General features: G+C 45.0%; 1 protein-coding gene across 3 annotated transcripts; it reads right to left on the reverse strand.

The window, feature by feature from the left end:
• Nucleotides 1-1,449: 1,449 nt before the first annotated feature.
• Nucleotides 1,450-20,125, reverse strand: QNG1 (Q-nucleotide N-glycosylase 1). Of its 3 annotated transcripts, NM_001317997.2 has the most exons (5): nt 20,036-20,125; nt 19,303-19,393; nt 18,520-18,779; nt 7,933-8,128; nt 1,450-2,882 (listed from the first exon to the last, which is right to left on the reverse strand). In NM_001317997.2, exons 3-5 carry the CDS (start codon nt 18,691-18,693, stop codon nt 2,650-2,652), a joined length of 603 nt encoding a protein of 200 aa, NP_001304926.1. In that variant the 5' UTR covers nt 18,694-18,779; nt 19,303-19,393; nt 20,036-20,125; the 3' UTR covers nt 1,450-2,649. The 3 variants fall into 3 exon arrangements, with proteins under 3 accessions (NP_001304926.1, NP_115683.3, XP_005252328.1); NM_032307.5 differs by lacking the exon at nt 20,036-20,125 and having other exon boundaries at nt 19,303-19,881; XM_005252271.5 differs by lacking the exons at nt 1,450-2,882; nt 7,933-8,128; nt 20,036-20,125 and adding an exon at nt 16,791-16,982 and having other exon boundaries at nt 19,303-19,881.
• Between the last annotated feature and the right edge of the window lie 5,065 nt (nt 20,126-25,190).

Genomic DNA, 25,190 nt, shown 5'->3' on the forward strand with positions numbered 1-25,190 from the left:
GACATGAACTCCTACGTTCAAGGGATCCTCCTACCTCAGTTCCTCCCCACCACACAGTGGCTGGGACCATAGGAGCGAGCCACTGCACCTGGCTTCAACCCTTTCTTTCTACTCTTCTTTATTGCTTCAATCCTGCTGGCTAGATTAGAATGCAGGCATCCAGGATTGATTCCAGGTTATGCTCAGTGGCAGAAGAGAAAAGGCAGCTGGGTCTGGGAAACCATGGCTCACAGCTGTAAACGCGGTGCTTTGGAAGGCCAGTGGCAGGAGGACTGCTTGAGCCTAGGAGTTCGAGACCAACCTGAGCAACATAGTGAGACCCCATCTCTACAAAAAATTTAAATTAGCCAGATATAGTGGCATGCGCCTGTGGTCCCAGCACTTTGGGAGGATTGCTTGAGCCCAGGAGTTCAAGGTTACAATGAGCTATGATCTCACGACTGTGCTCCAGCCTGGGTGACAGTGAGACCATCTCTAAAAAAATAAAAAATAAAAAATAAAAAAAAAGAGAGTGGAGAAGGAGAAGAAAAAGAGGGGGGAGGGGAAAGAAGGGAAGAAGAAGGAGGAGGGCAGAGAAGCAAAGGGGAGGAGAAGAGGGAAAGGGGGAAGGGAAGACAGGAAGTGCCAGAAGGGTGGCAGGAGCAGAGGCCCAGAGATTACACTGGAAACTGTTATGATGCTTTCTGGTACAAGTTACAGAAAACTAATTCAAGATGCTGGAAATAATAAGGTAATGTGTTTATTATCTCAAGTATGAAGTCCATGGATAGGATGGGCTCAGGCATGGAAAGTATAGCTGGGCTCTAGCTCCACAAAATGGCTACCTGCATGATAGCAGGTATCATGCTAAAAGCATTGCTCAGAGGAAGAAAAGGGAACTTTGTCCTATATCTCTTTCTTAAAAGTGAAGAATCCTTTTCTAGAAGCTTCCCAGCAGACTTGTCATCCAGTGTCACTGTCCAGAACTAGATTATATACCCATTATCAAAGCAATCACAGGCAAGGAGAGTAAAGTGACCAGGAATAGTAAACCATTCATACAAGATCTACCTCCAGAACTGGGGATGGGATCACCATCCCCTGAGTCATACAGGACAGGGATAGACACAGGACCACTCCTATGGTTGTGCAAGTTGTGTAGTGCACAACTCCAGGAGGCCTCACTCACAGTCATTTGTAAGGTTATTATGACAAATTTCCAGCAGATGGCAGTAAAGTGCTTGGGAAAAGGGCATCTTTTTCTGACTTTTCTGAAGTCACAGCAAGCAGACAAGGTAGATACCTAACAAAATCAAGATTCTGTTAGAAGGAATGTGGCGGGGGTGGTGGGAAATGAGTACTTGACAGGTAATGAGAGTTCTGCAGCAGAAGGTAAATAATCTAACTTACAGTAAACCTTTTAAAATTATATATAGTAAATTCTATTTTAATGAAATAATCCATTCCAGGTTTAAGAAAAATTTTGAATATTTTTATTGAATTCCAATATAGTTACTCTGAAAAAACAAATTAGACAGATATCCTAAATTGAAAATCATGATGTACAAAACCCACTGTCATTACCAATAAAAAGTTTAAAATAAAGTGTCAAGATTGATTTTTACAAGAACAGCATTCATATATCAAAAACCTCTCTCTTTTTTATACCAAATGATTAAGGTATACTGAAAATTACACACCTCAAGAAAATATATCAGTAGATGAAATATTATCACTGAAGATTAGTCACATAAGGCATGATTAGTTTTGGGAAATTTAAATAAAATATTAAAGTTCCTTCACGATTTCCGTCAACTACATGTCCACAGGGGGGAAAAAAAAAAAACATAAGTCAAAACTAAACAGGCAGACAAATGATAAAGTTGGGAATACATAGCGATGTCAGGAATTTTTTTTTTTTGAGACAAGGTCTCCATCTGTTGCCCAGGATAGAATGCAGTGGCGTGACTGTGGCTCACTGCAGCCTCAAACCCCTGGGCTCAAGCAATCCACCCTCCTCAGCCTCAGCCTACCGCGTATTTGGGATTACAGAGCGTGCCACCATGCTAGGCTAATTTTTAAATTTTTGTAGAGATGGGGGTCTCCCTATGTTGCCTAGGCTGGTCTTGAACTCCTCGCCTCAAGCAATCCTCCTGCCTTGGCCTCCCAAAGTGCTAAGATTATACATATGAGCCACCACATCTGGCCTAGGAAGTTTTGTTGTTGTTGTTGTTGTTGTTGTTGTTTTTTGAGACAAAGTTTCACTCTTGTTGCTGAGGCTGGAGTGCAATGGCCTAATCTCGCCTCACTGCAACCTCCACCTTCTGAGTTCAAGCGATTCTCTTGCCTCAGCCTCCCAAGTAACTGGGATTACAGGCACGTGCCACCACGCCCAGCTAATTTTGTATTTTTAGTAGAGATGGGGTTTCACCATGTTGGCCAGGTGGTCTCAAACTCCTGACCTCAGATGATCCACCCGCCTCAGCCTCCCACAGTGCTGGGATTACAGGCATAAACCACTGTGCCCGGCCTAGGAAGTATTTTTCAAGTGAGAATGGGCAATCAATTTCCTATAACCTCGATCATGTTCTCTAAATATCAAAGCAAAACTGTACAGATGATATGATATAAAACGCAGGGGGTTTTCTTTGGATCAGTTTACACTTGAGGTCAATAATATATGCAACGTATGCGATGAAACGGAATTCCTTTCATATCTTCCCTATGGTCATGGGCATAGTCCCATAAGTAATAATCCAGAAGAATGGAATTGATCTCTCCATTAGGTTTTTCACCCTTTTGTTCAATAAGCTCCAGAAGACAATCCCGGATCAGCTCAACACACCAAAGCGAGCACCCTCTGATTTCCACCTCTTGCCTGTCTCCATATGAGAGCATTTCTCCTGCAAGGGGGAAAAGCAGTAAGAAAAATTAATAGTCAATGATACATAATCTACTTGAACTTTCCTGTAGAACAAAACAGAGTATTTAAATGGTACTCATTTTAAAACTGTAAATCTCAGACGTTATTTTTGGTAATTTAAATCATTTCAAAACTTTCGCACTGATTTTAAATTACAAGTTAAATTCCACAAAGACAGGGGCCATATCTGGCTTGTCTCAATATTCCCAGGAGCTAGCATAGCACCTTGCACATACTAGCTCCCCAATAAATATTTGATAAATGAGTAAGTGGTAACCATAAATTTAAAACTATGACTGCTAGTTATTAAAAAGATGGAATTTAAAATTGGGTTTGATACCAGAAATAAAATTATTGTAGGCTGGGTGCAGTGCCTCACCTCTGTAATGCTAGCAATTTGGGAGGCTGAGGTAGGAGGATTACTTGAGCTCAGGAGTTCAAGACCAGCCTGGGCAACATGACAAAACCCTGTCTCTACAAAACATACAAAAATTAGCCAGGCATGGTGGTATGTGCCTGTAGTCCCAACTACTCAGGAGTAGTAGTCCCAGCATGGTAGTATTGCCTGTAGTCCCAGCTACTCGGGAGGTTGAGGTGGGAGGGTCGCTTGAGTCCAGAAGACAGAGGTTGCAGTGAGCCGAGATCACGCCATTGCACTCCAGTCTAGGCAACAGAACCAACCGTATCTCCAAAATAAATAAATATTTATTTTGGGAATATCTGATCCTGCAAGGTAGGCACTGGCTGTGTCTTACCACTGAGACTAGAGTAGGACTCATGGACCCATGTCTATATGCAGCAGCCAGATGCAAACTGTAGTGAGCGAGGTAGTGTACATAGTACTATGCAAAGGTACTGTGTGTTTCCATATTTTTCTTATGAGAGAAGTCAGGAAGTTTGATTTTTATGTGAAATCTCCTAATTTTCAAGTGTTGGAAACTAATTAAAAATTGCTAGGCCATTTTTCAGGCCAAACCTAACACAACTGCAAGCTGTATTTGGCCTCTGGCCACCAAACTGCACCCATGCACAAAGTCTCACAGTACCCAGGATATCTTGTGACCTTAAGTAGTGTTACTTATGCCCCCTCCATCCAACTCTCCCATGGGCTTAGGCACTGGTCAGTGGAACAGGTGGGGAAACAGTGATTAACCAGGTTCCTCCATTTCCTTACTTTGCCCCAGGTGCTAGCATAGAAGCCCATACCTTCCTCTTCAGTTTTGCTGTTAATCATTTCCTCCAAATTTGACTATCAACTTGCTAAAACTGCCAAATCAGCCAACAGAGTGGCCACGGAGGCAGACGCTCCCACCCGAGTAGAGCTATCAGGTAAGACACTGCTCCACTTGGCGGCTGGACTGTAACCTTGAGGCAGAGGTACAAAGTTAAGCAGCACTCAGGTTCCTGACCCAGGATCATAAATGTCTGTTGTTTTAACCACTAAATTTTAGCGTAATTTGTTACACAGCAATAGATAATAGTAGTGGGTTGAACTGTGGCTCATAAAAAGATACATTCAAGTCATAACACCTGGTACCTGTGACTTTGACTTTGTTTGGAAATAGGGACTTTGCAGATGTAATCAGGTGAAGAGGTCATACTGGATTAGGATCAACCTTAAATCCAATGAAGGAAAGGTGAGACCCCTTCTCTACAAAAAATGGAAAAAGTAGCCAGGCATGGTGGTATGCACCTCTAGTAGCCCCAGCTACTCAGGAGGCTGGGGCTGAGAAGGGAGGATCGCTTGAGCCCAGGAGTTTGAAGCTGCAGTGAGTTATGATCATGCCACTGCACTCCAGCCTTGGTGACAGAGTAAGACCCTGTTTCTAAACAAAAAAGAAAGCAAGCAAGAAAAGAAGAGGATACAGGTCGGGTGCAGTGGCTCATGCCTGTAATCTCAGCACTTTGGGAGGCCAAGGCGGGTGGATCACCTGAGGTTAGGAATTCGAGAGCAGCCTGGCCAACATGGTAAAACCTTGTCTCTACCAAAAATACAAAAATTAGCCAGGCATGGTGGTGGGCACCTGTAATCCCAGCTATCCAGGAGGCTGAGGCAGGAGAATCACTTGAACCCGGGAGAAGGAGGTTGCAGTGAGCTGAGATGGCGCCATTGCACTGGGCGACAAGAACAAAACTCCGTCTCAAAAAAAAAAAAGAAGAAAAGAGGATACAAAGAGACAGGAGACACAAGGATAAGAAGGCCATGATTGGTGTGATGCAGCTACAAACCAAGGAATGTCAAGGACTGCTGGAGCCACAAGGTACTGGAAAGAGGCAAGGTAGAATTATTCCCAAGAGCCTTTAGAGGAAGGATGGTCCTGCCAACATCTTGATTTCAGACTTCCAGTCTCCAGAACTGTGACACAATACATTTCTGTTCCTTGAAGCCATCTAGTTTGTGGTAATTTGTTATGTCAGCCCTAGGAAACTAATGTAATAACTAATGCAGCAACTTACAGTATGGGATAGAACATGGACTTCAGACAGAAAAAGACATTTAAGTGGACTGACATAGATTAGAGTCAGGGAAGGTAATATGGCCCAGGTATTTGGTCTAAAAACTGGCCCTGGAATCACAGTGAAAAGCTAACTTTAGTTAAATTGCATTGTTAGTCTTTATAATTGGCCAAGTACTACGTCTTTGGTGAAGAGATGGGTTAAAGACAGTGGACAGAAATCTAAGTGGCACTTCCAAGGGTTGTCCCTGAGATACCCAGATGAGGGGAGAAGGGAAAGAATATAAATGTAGCAAATCCTCAAGTTTGGAAGTACCATTGGAAGCCAGTTAAGGAAGGTCCTACCTCACCTGGTCAAATTAAGCTGGTCCTAGATTTCACTTAAGGTAGTTTTTAAAAATGAGTACACTATACTTATGTTTGTTACATTACATTTACAGTTTGTTTATTTTTGGTCTAGTTTTGCAGTAACATACCTTTTGGAAAACAAAATCCAAATTTTACTTAAATGCACTAAGTGGCAAAAGAATTTGTCCACCCTGTATCAAACTAGCTACGGATAGGAGAGTACCCTTTTAGAAGCAAGGCATAAATGGAGGCAGTAATGAGTGCCAGTGGATATTGGAAAAGAGCCTCTGGAGTTGAAATGGATGGGAGAAGAAAATTCTGACATCTCTGTACAACTATGCTGGATGATCCCTTCTCACTAGGGTTTTTCTCATAGTAGCAGAGACAATTAAGTGCCATAAAAACTGAGAAGGAGATGGACAAATCACTATAAGTGAGGACAGCATTTGAGTGAAGCCTCTGTGATGTATAGGATTTGAATTGAAAAAAAGAAGCTGGGCGTGGTGGCTCACGCCTGTAATCCCAGCACTTTGGGAGGCTGAGGAGGGTGGATCATGAGGTCAGGAGTTCAAGACCAGCATGACCAGTGTGGTGAAACCCCGTCTCTACTCAAAATACAAAAATTAGCCAGGCATCGTGGCATGCGCCTGTAATCCCAACTACTCAGGAGGCCGAGGCAGGAGAATGGCTTGAACCTGGGAGGCGGAGGTTCTGGTGAGCCGAGATCACGCCACCACACTCCAGCTTGGGCAACAGAGCGTCTCAAAAAAAAAAAAAAAAAAAAAAAAAAAGAAAGAACACTGGACGATGGAAACCACGTAAGAGAATACTCAGAGACAGGAATGAACAGTGTGTACAAAACAAAAAAAAAGCAGCTTAATATGGCCATATGAAAAATAAGCCCTGATTGCTAAATGTTGTCCCTTTTAAAGGTATCCAACAATTAGTGACCCTTGACATGGGCATGATGACAAAAAATAGCATGTTCTTTTTCAAATGAGGAAATGGAAGACAAAACAGATTGCCCATGGCAGCATAAAAACCCAGTAGAGCCAACCATAGGAATAATGGTACCTTTATATTCTGTGTTATTCTGATCTGGGGGATTCAAATCTATTTCACAAGAGGAAATTATTCAATCATAGAATCTACTTCTTTTAAAAAAATACATAAGGCCGGGGTGGTGGCTCACACCTGTAATCCCAGCACTTTGGGAGGCCGAGGTGGGTGGATCACAAGGTCAGGAGATCGAGACCATCCTGGCTAACACGGTGAAACCCCGTTTCTGCTAAAAATACAAAAAATTAGCTAGGTGTGGTGGCGGGCGCCTGTAGTCCCAGCTACTCGGGAGGCTGAGGCAGGAGAATGGCCTGAACCTGGGAGGCGGAGCTTGCAGTGAGCCAATATCGCACCACTGCACTCTAGCCTGGGCAACAGAGTGAGACTCCGTCTCAAACAAACAAACATAAAGAGGCCAGGTGCAGTGGCTCACGCCTGTAATCCCAGCACTTTGGAAGGCTGAAGTGAGAAGACTGCTTAAGCCCAGGAATTCAAGACCAACCTGGGCAACATATTTTTTAAATAAAATAAAATAAAGAAAAAAGTAGCAGAAAATTTTGCACCTAAAAGAGAAATTAACATGAAAATCATATAATTATTTTCCTCATACAAGGAAATGTTATAAGCTAATTTTCACACAAACTTTTCAACCCAATTTACCTAAGCTTATATATCATAAGGCTCCTAGTCTTGATATCAATAATCATATCCAATAATGGCGAATAAGCCTAAGGAAGTGAGTGACTTGTGCAAGATATCCCAGTGCAGACCTTGGAGTCTCTTCACTCAAAAGCCAATTCATATTACCTATCTTTCAACCTACCTTCATATAACCATGTAGTGTGCTCTTCAGCTTAACACTCTTCAAATACTATAACTGATGAACTATCAGTGTTACATACTTTCATGTAACATAAATTTAGGTTTCATTAGGCTATGAAATTATAATGTTCAAATAGCACAATTTTCTACAATATCCACATTTCACAGTGTAAACAAAAAGAAAAATCATTTTCTCTACATTTTGTCTTTGCATTTTCCTTTTTACATATACTATGAACAATAAATAGTACTTTTTTTTTAAAGCAAAGGAGACCTTTTGTAAAAGAAACTAAACCGAGATCCAACAATTCATAGTATAACAAAGAATGACTTAAAGTTGCAAACCTTTGAGAAGCTTCTTCAGTAGGTCATCAGAGTATTTCAGGGCTCCAAGATGAGCAAGAACCTGAGGTAATCTATAATCAGCAAACATGGTGATACTGGAGATGTCCTTGAAGCAGCCATCTCCTTTTCCTTCCAATACACTCCACGTATCTGCTACAAGGATTTGGGCTCGTTTGTAAAAAGAAACTCTTTTCCCCTGATGAATGAAGAGAATATAAACGTTATTTGAGTATCTGAAAGCTTTATATATGCTATTTTTTAAAGGTGCAGTTGAAACATTTTTTAAAAGGCAGAATAATCTTACTTTGTTGGTAAGAATTTATAGATTGGCCGGGCACCATGGCTCCCGCCTGTAATCCCAGCACTTTGGGAGGCTGAGGTGGGCAGATTGCTTGAGCCCAGGAGTTCAAGACCAGCCTGTGAAACATGGCATAACTCCAACTCTACAAAAAAAAAAAATTAGCTGGGCGTGGTGGCACACATCTATGGTCCCAGATACTCAGGAGGTGAGGTGGGAGAATCGCATGAGCCTGGGAGGTCAAGCCTGCAGTGAACTGTGATCACACCACTGCACTCCAGCCTGGGTTACAGAGGGAGACCCTGTCTCAAAAAAAAAAAAAAAAAATTCATAGATCTTTTACAAGAAACAAAAGGATTTAATGAACATTAAATTTTCTATCACTCCAAACTCGCTTCCCATTTTTCAAGGCACATAAAATACAATTTATGTAATCTTGATACTACTTACTATTCTTTTTCAATGGCATTACTTCATATACAGATTTCTGCAATATAATCCTAGGGCTTATTATTATTATTATTTTTTGAGACGGAGTCTTGCTCTGTCGCCCAGGCTGGAGTGCAGTGGTGCAATCTCGGCTCACTGCAAGCTCCGCCTCCTGGGTTCACGCCATTCTCCTGCCTCAGCCTCCCGAGTAGCTGGGACTACGGGCGCCGTCACCACGCCCGGCTAATTTTTTGAATTTTTTTAGAAGAGACGGGGTTTCACTGTGTTAGCCGGGATGGTCTCGATCTCCTGACCTTGTGATCTGCCCGCTTCGGCCTCCCAAAGTGCCGAGATTACAGGTGTAAGCCACCGTGCCTGGCCCAAGGGCTTATTATTTTAAATGTGTAGATAGCATTCCTTTTGAAAGTTTCTTAAATTAAAACACGTCTGTTTTTCTGATTGCAATATAATTCACATTAATTGTATAATATACAGCCAAGTATAGGCCAGGCATGGTGGCTCACGCCTGTAATCCCAGCACTTTGGGAGACTGAGACAGGAGGATCACGAGGTCAGGAGTTCGAGACCAGCCTGGCCCATATGGTAATACCCCGTCTGTACTAAAAATACAAAAATTAGCTGGGTGTGGTGGCGATCGCCTGTAGTCTCAGCTACTCAGGAGGCTGAGGTAGAAGAATTGCTTGAACTTGAGTGGCAGAGGTTGCAGTGAGCCGAGATCGCACCACTGCACTCCAGCCTGGGCAACAGAGCAAGGCTCTGTCAAAAATAATAATAATTAAAAAAAAATACAGCAACATACAAAGAATAATCATCCATAAGCTCAGGTCTGAAGAGAACCACAACATTCATTTTTAACTGTTTCCTTTCAGATAATATGATTAACTTATTTTATGAAGACATTAATTGATCAACAGCTAGAAAATGATCATATTTACCAATTTTGGAAATGCTCAAAGTTGATATGTAAGTCCAAATATGAAAATAAAATAGCCAATTATATTTATACATAGAAAAGACAAATTTAACCAAGCATTAGTGGGTTATAATTTAACTAAAAAATTCTAGCTAAGTGTGGTGGCTTACACTTGTAATCCCATCAATTTGGGAGGCCAAAGCCAGAGGATTGTTTGAAGCCAGAAGTTCAAGACCAGCCTGGAAAACGATGAAACTCCATCTCTACAAAACACGGCGAAACCCTGTCTCTACAACCACCACACCTGGCTAATTTTCATATTTCAGTAGAGATGGGGTTTCACCATGTTGGCCAGACTGGTCTCAAACTCCTGACCTCAGGCGATCCGTGTGCCTTGGCCTCTCAAAGTGCTGGGATTACAGGCATGAGCCACCATGCCTGGCCTACAAATTTTTTTTTTTTTTTAATTAGCCAGGCGTGGTGGCACGTGCCTGTAGTCTCAGCTACTCACCAGGCTGAGGCAGGGGGTTTGCTTGAGCCTGTGAGGTAGAGGCTGCAGTGAGCTGTGATCACATCACTAAACTCCATCCTGGGCAACTGAGACTCTATCTCAAAAAACAACACCCCAAAAACACTCTGTAAATCTACAAATGCAAATCAGCCTAGATTATGGAAAAACATAGATAATTACAATCAACTACTAGTCCTAATACCAATAGTAATAACCTTAAATAATGTTTTATAAATGTTTATCAATATTACTAGCTCCCAAAATATATCCTGACCACCTTGGAGGAGAATATTTTAACTTGTAAATGACATAAACAAATAAATACGAGATTAAAAGTTTAAGGAAAGGCTCTATATAAAAATTCCTTAAGATGACACTACAGATTCTTTTATTTACTAAGAAAATGCCAATGATACCCTGTCATAACAAGAAATAACCTAATATTGCTTAACCTTAAGATATGCCTATTGTAACAGATCCAGACCTATTTTTATTATACTAAATAAATTAAAACTTCTAAAGCTACATTTAAGAAAGTCAGAATTTGCCTCTCCCTCTCCCTCGTCTCCCACTTTCCAGGGTCTCCCTCTGATGCCGAGGGGAGGCTGGACCGTACTGCCGCCATCTCGGCTCACTGCAACCTCCCTGCCTGATTCTCCTGCCTCAGACTGCCAAGTGCCTGGGATTGCAGGCGCTCGCCGCCACGCCTGACTGGTTTTTGTATTTTTTGGTGGAGATGGGGTTTCGCCGTGTTGGCCGGGCTGGTCTCCAGCTCCTGACCGCGAGTGATCTGCCCGCCTGGGCCTCCCGAGGTGCCGGGATTGCAGACAGAGGCTCGCTCACTCAGTGCTCAATGTTGCCCAGGCTAGAGTGCAGTAGCGTGATCTCGACTCACTACAACCTCCACCTCCCAGCCGCCTGCCTTGGCCTCTCAAAGTGCTGAGATTGCAGCCTCTGCCCGGCCGCCACCCCGTATGGGAAGTGAGGAGCGTCTCTGCCTGGCCGCCCATCGTCTGGGATGTGAGGAGCCCCTCTGCCCGGCCGCCCAGTCTGGGAAGTGAGGAGCGCCTCTTCCCGGCTGCCATCCCATCTAAGAAGTGAGGAGCGTCTCTGCCCGGCTGCCCATCGTCTGAGATGTGGGGAGCGCCTCTGCCCCGCCGCCCCGTCTGGGATGTGAGGAGCGCCTCTGTCCGGCCGCGACCCCGTCTGGGAACTGAGGAGTGTCTCTGCCCGACCGCCACCCCGTCTGGGAGGTGAGGAGCGTTTCTGGCCGGCCGCCCCGTCTGAGAAGTGAGGAGCCCCTCCGCCCAGCAGCCGCCCCGCCTGGGAAGTGAGGAGCCCCTCCGCCCGGCAGCCGCCCCGTCTGGGAAGTGAGGAGGGTCTCCGCCCGGCAGCCGCCCCGTCCAGGAGGGAGGTGGGGGTCAGCCCCCAGCCCGGCAGCCGCCCCGTCCGGGAGGGAGGTGGGGGGCAGCCCCCCCGCCCGGCCAGCCGCCCCGTCGGGGAGGGAGGTGGGGGGCGCCTCCGCCCGGCCACCGCCCTGTCCGGGAGGGGGGGGGCGCCTCTGCCTGGCCGCCCCGTCTGGGAAGTGAGGAGCCCTTCTGCCCGGCCGCCACCACGTCTGGGAGGCATGCCCAACAGCTCATTGAGAGCGGGCCATGATGACGATGGCGGTTTTGTCGAATAGAAAGGGGGGAAATGTGGGGAAAGGAAAGAGGGATCGGATTGTTACTGTGTCCGTGTAGAAAGAAGTAGACATAGGAGACTCCATTTTGTTATGTACTAAGAAAAATTCTTCTGCCTTGGGATGCTGTTAATCTATAAACTTACCCCCAACCCCGTGCTCTCTGAAACATGTGCTGGGTCCACTCAGGGTTAAATGGATAAAGGGCGGTGCAAGATGTGCTTTGTTAAACAGATGCTTGAAGGCAGCATGCTCCTTAAGAGTCATCACCACTCCCTAATCTCAAGTACCCAGGGACACAAACACTGCGGAAGGCCGCAGGGTCCTCTGCCTAGGAAAACCAGAGACCCTTGTTCACATGTTTATCTGCTGACCTTCCCTCCACTATTGTCGATGACCCTGCCAAATCCCCCTCTCCAAGACACACCCAAGAATGATCAATAAATACTAAAAAAAAAAAAAAAAGTCAGAATTTGTTTTCCAGAGCAAGTATACATTCTCATTTTCTGAGAAAATGGTGTAATGTCTCTAAATTAAATTAAGGGGCTGAAGGAACAAATCACAATTTAAAACATTCCTACATTATGCTATCACCCTATATTCCTAAACCTATCTAAATATGACAACTTGGCAATTGTTCCTCTATATAAACTGGATTTATATATGGCAACCAGGTTTCTAGTTCAAGTCTAGTTTATAAAACAACACAAGACATGGCTGGGTGCAGTGGCTCATGCCTGTAATCCCAGCACTTTGGGAGGCCGAGGCGGGTGGATCACCTGAGGTTGGGAGTTTGAAACCAGCCTGACCAACATAGAGAAACCCCGTCTCTACTAAAAAAAATACAAAATTAGCCGGGCATGGTGGCACATGCCTGTAATCCCAGCTACTCGGGAGGCTGAGGCAGGAGAATCACTTGAACCCGGGAGGCCGAAGTTGTGATGAGCCGAGTTCACGCCATTGCACTCCAGCCTCGGCAACAAGAATGAAACTCTGTCTCAAGGGAAAAACAAAAACAAACAAAAAAAAAACCCAGCAAGACATAAGACTTAACTTATAAAAATGTCTATTAAACACAATTACTACACCATCAAGTTTATTATAATAGATAGAAGCCATTATCTGCTATTTTTAACAAGATTCATAGAGCAAAATGGAAAAAACTAGAAATCAAACTTACATAGCAACCCACATGGAAAAAAACAAAAAATAAAAATAAAATCAGTGCTAGCATCTAAGAAAACATGTAAATTATCATGTCACTGCTGTTTCCATGGTAGCAGACTAGTATATATAAAGAATAGATTATAATAGATATAATAATATATTAATATAAAAAAGAACAAAAAGATTTAAGGGAGGAATCAAAAATAAATTCAAGTAATCTGTAAAACATTTTCCTATTTTTTTTTTTTTTTTTGGAGACGGAGTCTTGCTCTGTTGCCCAGGCTGGAGTGCAATGGTGCAATCTCGGCTCACTGCAACCTCTGCCTCCCGGGTTCAGGCCATTCTCCTGCCTTAGCCTCCCGAGTAGCTGGGATTACAGATGGGCGCCAACACGCCTGGCTAATTTTTGTATTTTTAGTAGAGACGGGGTTTCACCACGTGTGCCAGGCTGGTCTTGAACTCCTGACCTTGTGATCCACCTGCCTCGGCCTCCCAAAGTGCAAGGATTACAGGTATGAGCCACCACGCCTGGCCATCTCTATAAAACATTTTCTTGGTAAGCTCATTATGGTTTTAGAAATCAAATGATTTTTGTAATCAAATTCTGGATCTCTAAAATATTAACTGGTATCACTAAAACTACTAGTAAATCTCCAAATAACAATTGCTTACATGTTTCATGATATTGTTTTGTGATTTAAATATTTTCTAAATCGTACCTTTATAAAATAATTGTCAATAAAAAGCTCTATGACCATGAGTTAATTTTTTTCTTTTCTTTTCTTTTTTTTTTTTTTTTTGAGACAGGGCCTCACTGCTGCCTAGGCTGTAGCTCAATTCAGTGGCTCAATCACGGCTCACTGCTGCCTTGACCTCCTTGGGCTCAAGCAATCCTCCCACCTCAGCCTCCTGAATAGCTGGGACTATAGGTGTTCACCACCAAGGCCAGTTAATTTTCTTGTTATTTTGCAGAGATGAGGTTTCCCCATGTTGCCTAGGCTGGTCTTGAACTCCTGGGCTCAAGTGATCCACCCACCTTGGCCTCCCAAGGTTCTAGGATTACAGGAAAGAGCCATCGCACCTGGACAGTTAAGTTTTTTGAAAAAATTATTCCATAATTTTATCATGAATAAATAGAAAGTTCAAGGATTACAAAAGTTAAGAACAACATAGGCCAAGTGCGGTAGCTCATGCCTGTAATCCCAGCACTTTGGGAGGGAGGCCGAGGTGGGCAGATCACCCGAAGTCAGGAGTTCAAGACCAGCCTGGTCAACATGGTGAAACCCTGCCTCTACAAAAATATAAAAATTGACCAGGCATGATGGCGGGTGCCTGTAATCCCAGCTACTCGGGAGCTGAGGTGGGAGAATCGCTTCAACTTGGGAGGCGGAGGTTGCAGTGAACTGAGATTGTGCCATTGCACGCCAGCAAGACTCCATCTCAAAAAACAAAAAACAAAAAACAAAGGCTGGCATGGTGGCTCACGCCTGTAATCCCAACACTTTGGGAGGCCAAGGCGGGTGGATCACCTGAGGTCAGGAGTTCGAGACCAGCCTGGCCAACATGGTAAAACCCCATCTCTACTAATATACAAAAATTAGCCTGGCGTGGTGGTGCGCACCTCTAATCCCAGCTAACTCAGGAGGCTGAGGCAGGAGAATCACTAGAACCCGGGAGGCAGAGGTTGCAGTGAGCCGAGATTGCGCCATTGCACTGCAGCCTGGGTGACAGCGAGACTCTGTCTCAAAAAACAACAACAAAAAAACTAAAAATAAAAAATAAAATGTTATCTATTGAAATATCAAAAAGCTTATGTTTTTTATATTTATCAGTATGTCACAGTAACAGTAATAGTCATAAGAAAGCCAATTTGCTAATTAGAACTTTTACAAAGTTACTGCATTACTCTAAATCAGAGTAACTTGAAGAGCTTAAAAAATAGCTCTTCTTTCACCTATTCATCAGGCTCTTTGAGGGTGGTGTTTTGGAAATATATCTGAATTAAGCCTCCTAAGTGATTCTGGGGCACAGCCAGGTTGGGAAATCACTGATCTAAATCTATCTAAATTAAAAATTGTTAACTTTATTAATCTGTTCATGTCTAAAAATGAATGATAATCTCAGTAAATAGGTATACGTTAAAAACACATGACTAGTTTGTGCAAATTGTTTATTTTTATTTATTTATTTTTTTGGGGACAAGGTCTTGCTCTTCCAGGCTGGAGTAAAGTGGAACTATCAGAGCTCACTGCAGCCTCCACCTCCTGGGCTCAAGCGATCCTCCTGCCTCAGCCTCCTGAGTAGCTAGAACCACAGGCATGCCACCACGCCTGGCTAGTTTTTAAATTTTTTGTAGAAATGGAGTCTCACGTGTTGTCCAGGCTGGTCTCGACCTCCTGGGCTCAAGCAATCCTCTTACCTCAGCCACCCAATGTGTTGGGATTATGGGCTTGAGCCACCATGCCTGGCCCATTTTGGGGATTTTTCTGTAAAACTGTATGTTAGAAACAAGTACTCATGAGAAATGGTTTCTGTACCAATTTTCATTTAAAAATGTATCAGATTAGGTCAGGCGCTGTGGCTCACGCCTGTAATCCCAGAACTTTGGGAGGCCAAGGTGGGTGGATCACAGGGTCAGGAGTTCAAGATCAGCCTGGCCAATATGGTGAAACCCTGTCTCTACTAAAAATACAAAAATTAGGCCAGGTGCGGTGGCTCACGCCTGTAATCCCAGCACTTTTGAGGCTGAGGCGGGCGGATCACCAGGTCAGGAGATCAAGACCATCCTGGCTAACACGGTGAAACCCTGTCTCTACTAAAAATACAAAAAAATTAGCCGCGCGTGGTGGCGGGCACCTGTAGTCCCAGCTACGAGGGAGGCTGAGGCAGGAGAATGGCGTCAACCCAGGAGGCGGAGCTTGCAGTGAGCTGAGATCGCGCCACTGCACTCCAGCCTGGGTGACAGAGCAAGACTCCGTCTGAAAAAAAAAAAAAAAAAACAAAAATTAGCTGTGCGTGGTAGTGGGTGCCTGGAATCCCAGCTACTCGGAGGCAGAGAACCGCTTGAACCTGGGAGGCGGAGGTTGCAGTGAGCAGAGATGGTGTCACCGCACTACAGCCTGGGTGACAGAGTGAGACTCTGTCTCAAAAAAAAAAAAAAAAAGTATCAGATTGGCTGGGCATGGTGGCTCAAGCCTGTAATCCCAGCACTTTGGGAAGCTGAGGTAGGCAGATCACTTGAGGTCAGGAGTTCAAGACCAGCCTGGCCAACATGGTGAAACCCTGTTTCTACTAAAAATACAAAATTAGCTGGGCATGGTGGCGGATGCCTGTAATCCCAGCTACTTGGGAGACTGAGGCAGGAGAATCATTTGAACCCAGGAGGTGGAGGTTGTAGTGAGCCAAGATACTGCCACTTTCTGGTACATTTTTTAAAAATTGAACTTTTCAGCAAAGCAAAACCAAAGCACTGTGCTATAAATGAAATGCAGTTCTTTATAGCAGTGTGAGAACACACTAATACAATTGAATTCTTTTTTTTTTTTTTTCTTGAGATAGAGTCTTGCTCTTGTCGTCCAGGCTGGAGTGCAGTGGCATGATCTCAGCTCACTGCAACCTTCAGCTCCTGGGTTCAAGTGGTTCTCCTGCCTCAGCCTCCTGAGTAGCTGGGATTACAGGCACCCACCACCACACCCGGCTAATTTTTATATTTTTAGTAGAGACGGGGTTTCACCACGTTGGCCAGGCTGGTCTTGAACTCCTGACCTTGTGATCTACCCGCCTTGGCCCCCCAAAGTGCTGGGATTACAGGTGTGAGCCACCACGCCAAGCCAATTTCTTTTATTTTTTCTTTTATTTTTTTGAGATGGAGTCCAGCTCTGTCACCCAGGCTGGAGTGCGGTGGCGTAATCTCGGCTCACTGCAACCTCCCCCTCCCAGGTTCAAAAGATTCCAAAAGAATTTTACAAAAACAAAATCCGGGTGCAGCCTGTGAGGGTCCAACAAAATGATCATCATTTGTTCAAGTACACTGTGTATGAAAAAGAAAACACAAAATATATATACAGTACACTGAACTTTTCAAGAAATACTTTTTTGAGATAGAGTCTAATTCTGTCTCGTCTAGGCTGGAGTGCAGTGGTGCAATCTCGGCTCACTGCAGCCTCCACCTCTCGGGTTCAAGCGATTCTCCTGCCTCAGCCTCCTAAGTAGCTGGGACTACAGGTGCGTGCAACCATACCCAGCTAATTTTTGTATTTTTAGTAGAGATGGGGTTTCACCATGTTGCTAGGCTGGTCTTGAGCTCCTGACCTCAGTTGATCCACCTACCTAGGCCTCCCAAAGTGCTGGGATTACAGGAGTGAGCCACCGAGTCTGGCCAGAAATACTTTTTATTAGGGAGAGGTTAGTATACATTCTGATCTTCAACCAATAAAGTAACCTTCTTGAAGTACTAAAAATACTTAATTTTCCATAAGGAGAACATTACATGGAGGGTTCCATGTTTTTTAGGTTTGAAACATTTTAAAAGGAAAAAAAAGGAAGTAAAGAATGAAATATTGATTAGAAAACATAAGAAATGAGATGAAACTCCATCTCTACTAAAAATACAAAAAAACTTAGCCAGGTGTGGTGGCATGCGCCTGTAGTCCCAGCTACTCAGGAGGCAAAGGCAGGAGAATCGCTTGAACCCGGGAGGCGGAGGTTGCAGTGAGCTGAGATAGTGCCACTGCACTCCAGCCTGGGAGTCAGAGCAAGACTCCATCTCAGGGAAAGAAAAAAAAAAGGCCCGGCACAGTGGCTCACGCCTGTAATCCCAGCACTTTGGGAGACCGAGGTGGGTGGATCACGAGGTCAGGAATTCAAGACCAGCCTGGCCAACATGGTGAAACCCCGTCTCTACTAAAAATACAAAAATTAGCCTAGCGCAGTGGCGGGCACCTGTAATCCCAGCTAGTCGGGAGACTGAGGCAGGTGAATCACCTGAACCCGGGAGGCGGAGTTTGCAGTGAGCCAAGATCGCGCCACTGCACTCTAGCCTGGGTGACAGAGTAAGAGTCCATCTCAAAAAAAAAAAAAAAAAAAAAAAAAGGAAAGAAATGACGCCAGCGTGGTGGTTCACGCCTGTAATCACAACACTTTGGGAGGCTGAGGCGACCAGATTACCTGAGGTCGGGAGTTTGAGACCAGCCTGGCCAACATAGTGAAACCCCGTCTCTACTAAAAATACATAAAATTAGCCGGGCTTGGTGGCGCATCCCTGTAATCCAAGCTACTCGGGAGGCTGAGGCAGGAGAATCGCTTGAACCCGGGAGGCAGAGGTTGCGGTGAGCCAAGATCACGCCACTGCACTCCAGCCTGCGCAACAAGAGCAAAACTCTGTCTCAAACAAACAAACAAAAGAAAACATAAGAAATGACTTTGAAACACTACTTGATTTTGTTAGTTTCTTCCACAAGGAATACATTTAAAAATTTAAGTTTTTATTCTTAAAATGAGTTCTGGAAGTAAAAGAGTTAACTCTGAGATGATTAAGACTTCTAAAATCCCCAACAGAAGCAACTCACCTCAAACAGAGTCACATCTCTGTAAGAAGGAAAACTTTCAACCACCAGGTGCATTAACTTCTGCGCACTATTCTCACTTTCTCGGACGCAGTTGAGAAAAGAGCCTCCAAACTTCTCCAGCAGAATTTTCCCGGTTTCATTGAGAATCCGATGCCTCTCTTCTACTAAAGGCATGGAAACGTCTGTGTCAGAACGAAGTATATTCCGAACCTGATCCAGGGTCACTGTCGCGTAGTACGAGGCACTAGTTATTGGTATCCCTTTAGTGAAAAAATAAAATTCAGAGGACCAATGTCATACTTCCATATGCATTAAACCCTTGCTTTTACAACATGGAATTAATATGAAACCAAATGAGTGGTATAGGAATGCACCAAAAGTGGAAGAATAAAAAATCTAAAGCAAAACTCATTTTCTACTTGTTCATCTGTACTTATTCACCCATTTCTAACTATTGCAATATTACATCAGATGTATTCTGAGTAAATTGCTTTATAACATCGGTCCTTTTGTTCTTCAGGTGTCATTCAAATGGCATTCTTTATAAAACTGACTTTTATGCTACTGTAACTTTTATGCTGCAATGATAAATATTAACATCATTTTCCACTAAAATATGCCCCTTTTCATACTTCTATTTTAAGCATAAGGACTTGCAACGAACTTCAGGTTCGCTTTCCATTATTCCATCTCCCAACCCGCTCCTTGGAACTCCCCTACACACACCCCAAGTAAATGGAAACCTCAAAGGCCGTTAGGTCCGATGGCAAGTATGGCACCAACCTTCGTCGAGGGCTCTGTTGACGGCGGCGCACAGGGACCAGTACCCACTGTATGTTTTCCCTCTGTACCTCACCACACACTTGTGCTCGTCCTGCTCCGACCAAAAGGAGAAGTTGAGCGTGTCTGTCACGAACACCCAGTTGACCGCGGCCTCGTCGGCCGCCCTGGGGTTCAGCTCATGAAGGGCTTTCCACCCCTCCACGCGCAGCTCTGGCCCCGCCGCCTTGGCCAGCAGCAGCTCTGCCACCCTCCGTACGCCTCCGCTGTCAATAAACACATCCCGACTGTTTTCTGCAATGAATTTAGAGGATTCCCTGGGATTTAGGAGCCCGTCCATTCTGCCCTTTGGGACCCGGCGGGCCAAACTCTTCCCGCCCTAGGCGGGTCAAGGTCCACTCTGCGCCTTGCGCTACTACGAACCGCGCGATCACAGGGCCTAAACAAGGTCCCGCCCTGCCAGGGAGTGGCACCGAGAACTTAGTGCAGCCAAGGTAAAGGTTCTCTCCCGCGGCGTTGCCCTGATTAGGAAACCAGAGAGACCCCGGGGCAGCTCGCTGGGCAGAGGCCGCAAGCACTTCCGGGAAAGCGGTCCCGTTCACGCCCTCTCGGGCGCGCTCTCAGGCTCCGCTTCCGGTTCCAAAGGTCTGGAAACTGCTAAGGGTCCGGCGTTCACCGGCCGTGAGTTGCCCACCCTGGGAGGTGCATGGCTTTGCCATGTTTTGCCTTTTCTCACCCCGCTTCGGACAGGTGGGACTCGAAGACGGCGACTCGCCGCCTTGCCCTGGGTCGCGATGCCCCCACCCCGCTCCCACCCCTCTCCTTTCCCGCAGCCTGAGCAAGACGCCTTCGGCAACGCCCCGCATCCGGGCTCCTTGGCCTCGAAGAGCATTATGGCCGTAGATCTGGGTGCTGAGGACTGAGCCACCCCCAGACTGCGACATGGGCGGCGGTGCCTCCTTCCCCAAGCCCCAGGGAGTGTTTTTTTGTTTGTTTTGTTTTTTGTTTTTGTTTAAGTGAATTCCTGGCCCATTTGGCCGAACGAACGTTAGGATTAGTTGGAAGGTTTGGAGAAATGGATGAGGAAACAAATGTGTTAAATTGTTAAATTAACCTTGTGTGCCTGGCAGTGTACTTAAGTACTAAATCTCACCTAGGCTGGGTCATGACGAAAGCGGCTATTGTGATCCCGCTTTTGCAAGTGAAGCTGAGTGGTTCATTGATTAACCCCCATCACAGCAATGGTTTGGGCTAGGATTTAAACCTTTGATAATTGAGCCCCCTAAATCGAGGGCACTTTATGAGCCAATCACCAGTGCCAACCATTCTGGTCAGTCAAATAGTGACTATATCAGTGGCCCTACTGAGAAGACATTAAAAATGAGGAAATAAGTGTCTCACAACTGCAAACTTACACAAGTACCTTATATTAGGAGAGAGGTGTAGAAGCCAATTTAGTGATGATCCAAATTTGACTGGTGATGAAGTTTTAGTATAAAGGTATGCATTTTTTTTCCTTTTGGAGACTTAAATCTCCATGGATAACGTTCACATCTTTGAAAATCACCTATTAAAAATAATCATCAGTACCCATCTCTAGTTACCGACAGGAAAATCTTGGTATTTTTGGAGGATTCGGAGCTTTTAAATTTGTTTGTTTGAGACAGAATCTCACCCTGTCGCCCAGGCTGGAGTGCAGTGGCATGATCTCAGCTCACTGCAACCTCCACCTCCCCGGTTCAAGTGATTCTCCCTGCCTCAGCTTCCCAAGTAGCTGGGATTATAGGTGTCAGCCACCACACCTGACTAATTTTTGTATTTTTAGTAGAGATGGGGTTTCCCTATGTGGGCCAGGCTGGTCTCAAACTCCTGACCTCAGGTAATCCACCCTCCTCGGCCTCCCAAATGGAGCTTTTTTTTTGAGACGGAGTCTCACTCTGTCATCCAGGCTGGAATGCAGTGGCACAGTCTCGGCTCACTGCAACCTCCGCCTCCTGGGTTCAAGCAATTCTCCTGGCTTAGCCTCCCGAGTAGCTGGGATTATAGGTGCCCGCCACCACGCCCGGCTAAGTTTTGTATTTTTAGTAGGGACAGGTTTTCACCATGTTGGCCAGGCTGATCTCGAACTCCTGACCTCAGGTGATCCGCCTGTCTTGGCCTCCCAAAATGCTGGGATTACAGGCATGAGCCACCACACCTGGCCCCAAATGGAGCTTTTAAATTTGACAGCTGTTACCCTAGAAAAGCAGATCTTCATCACTCCAGTTTCTTCATTTTGGTAAGAAAAAGGAACTTTAAGGACTCCACTATGATACGTTTTCCAGAAAAAGTCACTAGTACATTAATACAGTTGTTAAGGAAATGTAAGTCTGTTGGCTTGGGATTTTTCCTTTCTACCACAGCACCTAAGTCTTGGGAGACAAATTGATTTAGCAAGGAAATCTAGCAATCTGCAAAATAATCCAGAAGGGTAAATAACTTAGACCCTTTTCTCTCACTGAGGTTTATTGATAGAAAAAAGTCAAATGCCGGCCAGATGTGGTGACTCACGCCTGTAATCCCAGCTTTTTGGGAGGCCAAGGTGGGTGGATCAGTTGAGTGCATGAGTTCGAGGCCAGCCTGAGCAACATGGGGAAACCCTGTCTCTACCCAAAACACAAAAAATTAGGTGGGTGTGGTGGCATGCGCCAGTGGTCCCAGCTACTAGGGAGGCTGAGGTGGGAGGATCGTCTGAGCCCAGGAGGCAGAGAGATTCCAGTGAGGTGAGATTGTGCCACTGCACTCCAGACTGTGAGAAAAAGTGAGACCCCCCCCCGTTCCCCCTCCCACCCAAAAAGTCAAATTCCTGCCTATGTTCAAGGTATTTAAGCACTAAAAGTAGTATACACAAGAATAAAACATGCCTCCTTCACTCAACTTTGAGATAAATCAAAACTGTGTGTGTCTGGGATTTTTGTTTTTGTTTTTTTAAGTGTGTCTACAAGATGCTGAGAATACAAAAATGAGTTGGGCTGGCCGTGGTGACTCAGGCCTGTAATCCCAGCACTTTAGCAGGCCAAGGATCACTTGAGCCCAGGAATTCGAGACCATCCTGGGCAACATGACAAAACCCTGTCTCTACAAAAAAAAAAAAAGAAAAAGAAAACATTAGCCAGGTGGCTGGAGCCTGTAGTCCCAGCTACTCCCAGAGGCTGAGGTGGGAGGATCCCTTGAGCCTGGGAGGCGGAGGTTGCAGTGAGCTGAAATGGCACCACCGCACTCCAATCTGGGCAACCCACTGTCTCAAAAAAAAAAAAAAAAAAAGTGAGTTCTTCACCTACTGAACATGGTTTTCCTGCTTTTTCCTTCCCAATAGATACTGTGATACTGTTTAGGAATCCATCTCTCAACTGCACTCCCTTGTAGCTTAGTTTAGCATCCTCAGACTCAAGGGTAGTCAGGACTGGTAATATCACCCTCTTGCCAGCAACTGGATTAGGTTTATGCATATTTCCCAGTTCACCTCAGTGAGTTGCAAGATTTGCAGAATGCTTGCAGAAAAGCTTTTCCTCACTCTTCCAGGAGAATTTTCAGAAGTGATTCAGGCTCCCTCTGGACCTGATTGACCTTGAATGTAAGGCCTGGAATTGCTGCAGTCCTTTTGATGGCAACCTGAGTTTGTTTTTTGGTTTTGTTTTGTTTGAGATGGAGTCTCGCTCTGTCGCCCAGGCTAGAGTGCAGTGGCCCGATCTCGGCTCACTGCAAGCTCCGCCTCCCGGGTTCACGCCATTCTCCTGCCTCAGCCCCCCGCCGCCCCCCCGCCCCGGTTCTATCAGCCGCCACCATGCCCGGTTAGCCAGGATGGTCTCGATCTCCTGACCTCATGATCTGCCCACCTCGGCCTCCCAAAGTGCTGGGATTACAGGCATGAGCCACCACACCCGACTTTGGTTTTTTTTTTTTTTTTTGAGACGGAGTCTCGCTCTGTCGCCTAGGCTGGAGTGCAATGGCGCGATCTCCACTCACTGCAACCTCCGCCTCCCGGGTTCAGGCCATTCTCTCCTGCCTCAGCCTCCCGAGTAGCTGGGATTACAGGCTCCCGCCACCATGCCCGGCTAATATTTTGTATTTTTTTAGTAGAGACGGGGGTTTCACGATGTTAGCCAGGATGGTCTCTATCTCCTGATAGAGATAGATAAATCTTTGGCAGAAGCTGTACCCTGTAGGCATAGGCTTTATTTATTTATTTGAAACAGGGTCTTACTCTGTCACACAGACTGGAGTGCAGTGGTGCAGTCATAGCTCACTGCAGCCTTGACCTCCCCAGCTCAAGTGATCCTCCTGAGTAGCTGGGACTACAGGCATGTACCATTGCACCCAGCTAATTTTTAATTTTTTTGTAGAGATGGGGTCTGCTGTGTTGCCCAGGTTGGCTTCGAACTCCTGGGCTCAAGTAATCCGCCTGCCTCGGCCTCACAAAGTGCTGGGATTACAGGCGTGAGCTACTATGCCTTGCAGGGGTAGGCTTTTGAAGAGATAGTGATGACCTCTAAATAACCTCTAAGCTTGCATTTTAAAGGTTAACAAAGGAGGAAGACATGATCAATGATGTGTCCATATAACTTTCCCCCCCTTGAACAGTATCCAAGTTAGATTATTCCAGTCATCAAGAGAGTCATCATTTTTGATTAGCTAAATTACATGTCAAGCTCTTGGGAATGATTATTGCTATATCTTCTATTTTCTATGATAGGCTATAGCATTAAAGAAATGGAGGGTCGGCCAGGTGTGGTGGCTCATGCCTGTAATCCCAGCACTTTGGGAGGCCGAGGCGGGCTGATCATTTGAGCTCAGGGGTTTGAGACCAACCTCAACAACATAGTGAGACCCTGTCTGTACAAAAAACAATAAAAAAAATTATCTAGGTGTGGTGGCATGTGCCTATAGTCTCAGCTTCTTAGGCGCCTGAGGCAAGAGGATCGCTTGAGCCCAAGAGGTCGAGGCTGCAGTGAGCTGTGTTCGTGCCACTGCACTCCAGCCTGGGCAACAGAGGAAGTTGCAAAAGTTGCCTAGAGCAGTGGATGGACAATAGACATCGCTAGTGGGAGGACATAGTTTCCCATATGTGCTCAAAGAGTTATGCATAGAAGTGAAATGGATTTTGTGGAGGTAAGACATCTCTTATTTTTATTTCTTTTTATATACACAAAATGACAGACTGAATCCCCATGAAGCCATAGCAGAAAAGAGATATGGCTCACTACAGTGTAATTTTTCTGTTCCTTTTCTTCTTGATTTATCCATATTTAGCATTTAAGATTGAGCACTTCCTTGAAATTGTCCATTGGCTTGCAGGGCATTTATATTTTCCTGGTTTTCTTAGTGTCATTGAAAGCTCTTCCTACTCTCTCCTTACTGAGTTTGGAATGTTTCCTATTTATAGGATATGACTTAGGGATAGAATGGAATCTTTCTGTGAAAACCATGCCTATTAATTACTTCAATTTCTGATTTAAAATATTAAATTATAATGGAATAAATCTATTGTTTCCCATTATATATCATTAACATTATTACTACAGTTCAAAGCCAGTTAGAGTTTTTTGAACCATATTTTGCTTTTTTTTTTTTTTTTTTTTGAGAAAGAGTCTCACTCTGTCGCCTAGGCTGGAGTGCAGTGCAGTGGCGTGATCTCAGCTCACTGCAACCTCCACCTCCTGGGTTCAAGCAATTCTCCTGCCTCAGCCTCCTGAGTAGCTTGGGATTACACACGTGTGCCACCATGCCTAGCTAATTTTTGTATTTTTAGTAGAGATGGGGTTTCACCATGTTGGCCAGACTGGTCTTGAACTCCTGAACTCGTGATCTGCCCGCCTTGGCCTCCCAAAGTGCTGGTATTACAGGCGTGAGCC

Source organism: Homo sapiens, chromosome 9 (genome assembly GCF_000001405.40).
Source record: "Homo sapiens chromosome 9, GRCh38.p14 Primary Assembly".
Classification (NCBI taxonomy): domain Eukaryota; kingdom Metazoa; phylum Chordata; class Mammalia; order Primates; family Hominidae; genus Homo; species Homo sapiens.

Coding starts and splice junctions, on each gene's coding strand:
- QNG1 (NM_032307.5), bottom strand. CDS start 19,639: ATGGACGGGCTCCTAAATCCCAGGGAATCCTCTAAATTCATTGCAGAA. Junction 8,129..18,519: donor GAGATGTGACTCTGTTTGAG/GTGAGTTGCTTC, acceptor TTCATTCATCAG/GGGAAAAGAGTTTCTTTTTA. Junction 2,883..7,932: donor ACTGAAGAAGCTTCTCAAAG/GTTTGCAACTTT, acceptor TCCCCCTTGCAG/GAGAAATGCTCTCATATGGA.